The sequence below is a fragment of the Homo sapiens genome, chromosome 8, assembly GCF_000001405.40.
Source record: "Homo sapiens chromosome 8, GRCh38.p14 Primary Assembly".
In the NCBI taxonomy this organism is placed as follows: domain Eukaryota; kingdom Metazoa; phylum Chordata; class Mammalia; order Primates; family Hominidae; genus Homo; species Homo sapiens.
The window spans coordinates 105,119,332-105,125,674 of NC_000008.11; the positions used below are offsets into that span (position 1 = coordinate 105,119,332).

A 6,343-nucleotide genomic window follows, 5' to 3' on the forward strand; every position below is an offset into this window, starting at 1 on the left:
AAGTGCTCCTCCCTACCAAAATACATTAGGATTTTCCCAACAGTGATAATTAGTAAAACTGCACCATCCCGCCCCCAACCATGTGATCATAACATCCCTATCCTCACAATATGCCAATCTCGAATGTCCACCCATCAGCTAACAAGTTCATTTCTTCCAGACAAATGTCAGGCTTTCTCATGAGGTCATTTTGATGAGTGAAAAATTTCCCATGTCATTTTCATTATTTTATATCTTTATTTTCTACTAGACTGTTGCTAAGCCTTTTTGGTTTTTAGGTGTCAGTTCATTACTTATTGCTGCAAACAGGTCATTCTAAATTTTAGTGACAAAATAGTAACAATTACTTTATTATTATCGTTCACAGTTCTGGGGGTTGACTGTGTTCACCTGGACAATTCTCAGTTGGAACCTGGGGCTGGCATCATTTCAAAGGTTTTCCCAATCACAGTCTGGTGGTTGGTGCTGGCTGTTGACTTGAGCCTCAGCTAGAACTGTCATGGCCTCTCCATGTGACCTTGGCTTTCTCACATCAGACAGGAAGTAGAAGCTCTCAGTTCCATACATCCTGGGGTTACACAGGCACAGAGTCACTTCTATCATATCCTGTTGGCCAAGCAGTTACAGAGCCTGAATTCAAGGAGAAGGGACACAGACTCCACTTCTTAATTGAAGGAGTATCAAAGAATTTTAGGCCATTTTTGAAAAAACGCCTTATTATATTTTACCCTCAGTACACAACACAGTATAAATTGTTAAACATTTGATATATGTATGATGACAATAAATTAAGTTGAAGCAAAATATGACAAGTGTCTAAATTAGGTCAGAATTAGTGTCAATAGATAAAAGAGGATACATATATGCAAGAGATTTCTAGAGAGAAAAACAGAACTAAAAAGAATTGCTCTATACTATGTCTCAAGTGATTGGCTACATGTCTTGGGTGATCAGGAAGCCATTATCTGATGTTTCAGAAAAACCCTGAATTAGAATCACTCAGAAGAAGGTTTGGATCTCTGTACCACCGTCAATCTTGGGCATAATAGTTTATGTTTCTCAGTCTCAGTTAAATAGTATCTATAAGTGAGGATAATAATGATTATCTTCCAGAGTTTTTGGAAAGATTAGAAATCATGCCTGGTAACTATTCAGCACACAATAAGTTATACAAATATAGACAATCCAGTGATTCAAAGAAAACAATTAAGAAACTTTTAGCATATGTTAGTTTCTTTTGAATAATGTTTTCTATTGAAATGACATGATTAAATCTTTTAATTTTGTGTTATTGTAATGAATTAATCTTTCATAGCCTTTGATGAGAAGCTTAATATCTTGATTTAATTGTGGAAATAGTCTACATACTGTGCATTCCATCAAATATTGAACTTGTGAATTGCTAACGTTATCTAAACCTGGTCAGTCAATTTAACAATTACTTTTTTTAATTTAACAAATTTTTTAAATTTAACAGTTTAAAAAATTATTAAATTTAACAATTTAAAAAATTATTAAATTTCCTTATGAATATTTGCTATCCTAAAAATTATTTGTCTGTTTTGATCTCTTTCATGATTTTGGATATCAATAATTATGCCTCACAAGAGTATATTTTGTTTACAAGATATTTATTGACAACATATCTATAAGATCAATGCTGATGAAACACAATTACAAATCCTAAATTTTAGTAATTTTTTAATTTGAGAGAGGTTATCTTCTAAAGTTTTAAATTAAATTGTATTTTTACTCTGTGAGAAGAATTTTGTATCATCTTTGCTTCTTTACATCTCCTAGACGTATGCTGATGCAGAGAAAAGTAGGTATAGTCAGCAGAACTTATTCAATAATTTCAACAACACAGAAAGAACTTGTTTCATATGCACAAATCCTATCCTGATTTTTTAATATCCAAAATAGACAATTTGGTTGAACATTAATATATGCAAACTAAATCCATTGTCACTTCAGGTTTTTAAAAAACAATTATAATAGTCACTTTGGGAAGAAAGGGGCATGTATTCCATGGCCTTTTTATAGAACTATTGACTGCCTTTAAGAGTGTATAGAAACCATTATCCTTGCCATATTGCAGGTTACTTTTTCAACTTAAAAATAAAATCTATAGACCATGTTGAATAATCTCTCTTGCAAGACCATCATCCTACCTCATTGAAACACTGTGATAAGATATTCAATGGGTATGAATACACTTTACTTATCATTGAGTTTTTTAAAAGGTTCATGTAACTAGATTCACATTTTATGCTGAACTGGACTCCATTTTTAATTCCTATGGCCATTGATGGATGAAACACACAAAAAAGGATAAATCTGTAGCCGGTGAGTCTCATATTTATAACTTCTGAAAAAGCAGATTCAGAACACTCAAAAAGTTAGAATGACATATGGAGATTTCCTCAATTACATGTGAATCAGATGATCTGTGGTATTTAATTACTTTAATAAAATGCTTTTCTTAACCACGGTCTCAAGAGAAGAAAATTATAACTGCAAGACACAATTGCTACTTGACTTTTTAGGTGATAAACAAGAATAATAGTTGGTCATTTATTATTTATAAAAAGGCAACATGATTCTATACAAATAACACAGGTCTTGTAATAAAAATCCCTAAGTTAAATTCCTCCTGTCTCTTTGGGACGGGTTTGGGGTATCGGTTTCATTTTTTGCTGCTTGTTTGTTTATTTGCTTGCTTTTGAAAGATGGAGATACTATAATATGTCAAAAATATTTTGTGAGCGTCTACTAAGTTAACAAACGAGAATGATTCTAACATAGTTCTGGCCCATGGTAGATAGTAAACAAATGTTAATTTTTTGATTACTTTATATTAGATGGTAGGTATGGGTGCTATTCTCTAGCAGAAATCTGATTTTTTTTCCCTAAATTTAGGCAAGGTGGAAACACAGCACATCCCCCTCTTCTTGAAGCAAGGGGAGGCCTTATGACTTCTTTTGGCAATGAAATGTGGGTAGATGTGATGGTTGGTGGAAATGCCATATATCACTTCTGGATAGAAGCATTAAATTGCTAATATTCCACACTCTAGTTTATGCTTCACTCTGTGAATATGATAGTGAAATGTGTGTTGATAAGAGGTGTTGGAAATTTAAAGCCACCTAAAATGCTGAACCAACCCATGTGTATGTCTGCTGTTGAATACTACCTGGACTAGAAATAGTCTTTGGGTAAGCTAAAAATAAGTATTTGGTATATAAACCACCTATGGCCAGGCGCGGTGGCTCATGCCTGTAATCCTAGCACTTTGGGAGGCTGAGGTGGGCAGATCATAAGGTCAGGAGATCGAGACCATCCTGGCTAACACAGTGAAACCCCATCTCTACTAAAAATACAAAAAAATTAGCCGGGCGTGGTGGTGCGTGCCTGTGGTCCCAGCTACTAGGGAGGCTGAGGCAGGAGAATGGCTTGAACCCGGGAGGCAGAGCTTGCAGTGAGCCGAGATTACACCACTGCACTCCAGCCTGGGTGACAGAGCGAGACTCCGTCTCAAAACAAACAAACAAACAAAAACAAAAAAAACACACTTCTATTTTGAAGATTGTTACTTCAATATAGTCTAGTCAATCTTGAATTATCTTACCTAATTCAATGTTTTCACTTATATCTCACTTATAGTAAATAAATATCTAGTAAATATGCTCACCATTTAGAATTTAAAAAATAGAAGATTTTACAATGTAGAAAATAAACACTGAAAAACCCAAGTCATTAATCTGAGAAAATGTGGGTTAAATAAATTTTTTTCACTGCTATATTTTGTTTAAAAATGACTTAGTAGGGTTCTAAATATAATTATTCTGAAATCTGTTTTTTATATTTTGCACTTCTAACCATACATCAGGACATGTCAGTAGTTATCGAGTAATTATTATATCTCCCTTATATGAGAAAGGAGAAAATTTTTCCTTTAAGTTTGAAATTTTAGGAAATGCAAATCTTGAAATGAAATCTTGAAATATTTTCATTAAGTATGAAAATCATCTCTATTGGATAATAAAGACTATAGAGTTATAAAACATAAGGGCTGGAAAAAAACTGACATGTAATTTGGCCCCTAAATTCCACTTTATAAATTAAGAATCAGAGATCCTAGGCCATTAATTAATTGACTTGGCCAAAATTGGTTATATAGGGACAGTCTGCTGCCAAAAATCAACCTCCATAAGGACTCTATTCTTAGCATATAAGGTCAAAGTTTCTTAGATTGCATTTAACCTCAGACCACTATTATCACAATCTAATGTCACAACTGCGCTAAACAGCCCACCATTGCCTGAACAAAATGGACTCTCTCCTTTCTTTATGTCTTTGCAAATGCTTATCTTTATCTTCTATCTAGAATACCATTCCCATTTTATCACCCTGACAAACTCCTACTGAACTTGCAAGACCCAGCTCAAGTACCACTTACCCCCGCCTTCATTACCACCAAACGCTGTATTTGGATGACCCCATTGCGGTTATTCAGACCACAGTTTATATTTGCTCACCTTGTTTTCTATTTATAATTAGTTATGTTTTTATTTCCATTTTTTTAATCTCCTCCCTGTGAGAGAATTAATTCTTCATGCTTACCTCTTGCCCCACAACCTTCAGTGCCTTTCTATGGGGTGGGTTTCTTACTCTGTTGTTATCAGCTTTGGCCACATGGCTTGCTTTGGTTAATGAAATTTGTGTGGAGGTTACATGTGTCACAAAGAAGCATTAAAAGCCTTTTTTCCCCCTCCAGTTATGTTACAAAAATGACATGTCTCAAGTGGAGCCTTGTCCTTCAGTCTCAATCCTGGAATGAAAAAGCTATGTTGGGTAAAGCCATGGCCAATTCATAGCCAATACAGTCAATATTTAATGTGAGAGATAAAGTAGGATCCTGAGATTTGAGGATTTTTTATAACTGCAGCATTATCTAATGAAAGATAATACATAGGTGTGCACATATTTCCCTCTGGTACTATTAAAGTAAACATCTTAAGGGCAGGCACTATGTCTCATTTATTTTTTGTATTTCAAACTTCTTGTTCAATTTCTGATACATAAGAGGTGCTCAATGTTTTATGAATAAATGGATGGAGTCTTATTACATGATGCTGTAGCTGTAATGTCTGAGGATTCATATCTTCCAATGGTTTACAATCTGAATAAATTTACAGTGATACAGAAAAACAAAAGATTTGCAGTGGTCTCTCATTGTTTATGAAGGATACATTCCAAGACCCCCAGTAGATGCCTGAAACCACAGATAGTATTGAATCCTATATGTACTGTGTTTTTTCCTGTACATACATACCTATGATAAAGTTTAGTTTATAAATCAGGCACAGTGAGAGATTAATAATAATAATAATAATAATAAGCCAAAACAACTATAATAATATCAGAATGGCACCCAATTTAAAACTTATAAATTATTCCTTTCTGAACATTTTTATTTAGTATTTTCAGATCACAGTCTACCACAGGTAGCTGAAACCATGGACAGAGAAGCTGTGGATAAGGGGACTACTGTATAAAACAGAATAAGAATGTTGCACAGATGCATCCAGGGGCAATAGAATTATTCACAGGATATTCTGGTCATCTGCAAGTTGGAAAGAAGTCAATTGTAAATTTTTTGCTGGGGGTTGAAGAATAAGAGGAGTAGAGCTTAAACTTCGAGGTTGAGATAAATTGGGTCCAGTAAAAATCATTAATCTCTTTCTGATCAATCTAGATGGATTTATAGAGGATGTGGATTTTTAGGGGTCATCTGCAGAACAAAGAGATATATGGTTATGTTAATAAGAGGCAGAAAGATTCACATAGTTTTAATGTGGGAAATAAGATATTTTACATAATTTTGGTATTACACACAAATGTAAAATGAATAAGGTAAAATAAGATCATGTAATATATTTTTTATCTTTTTCTAGAAGTATTTCACCGCTTATTTTCTAGGTTCAGTACTCCAGCAGAAATGTATTACCAAATATTAATTTAAAAATAAAGTTATAAGCCAGGCGTGGTGGCTCACGCCAGTAATCCCAGCACACGAGGTCAGGAGATCGAGACCATCCTGGCTAACACGGTGAAACCACGTCTCTACCAAAAATTAAAAAAAAAAAAAAAAAAAATTGGCTGGGCGTGGTGGCAGGCGCCTGCAGTCCCAGCTACTCGGGAGGCAGAGGCAGGAGAATGGCGTGAACCCGGGAGGCGGAGCTTGCAGTGCGCCGAGATCGCGCCACTGCACTCCAGCCTGGGCAACACAGCGAGACTCCGTCTCAAAAAAAATAAAAATAAAAAAGTTATAAATCAAGCT

The 6,343-nt window shown here is 34.6% G+C and overlaps 1 annotated feature.

The window, feature by feature from the left end:
• Positions 4,550–4,844: a silencer, noted in NCBI's record as "tiled region #12644; HepG2 Repressive non-DNase unmatched - State 24:Quies". NCBI's record gives its function as "represses a minimal TATA promoter and a strong SV40 promoter by Sharpr-MPRA in HepG2 cells {active_cell/tissue: HepG2}" and the evidence as "EXISTENCE:reporter gene assay evidence [ECO:0000049][PMID:27701403]".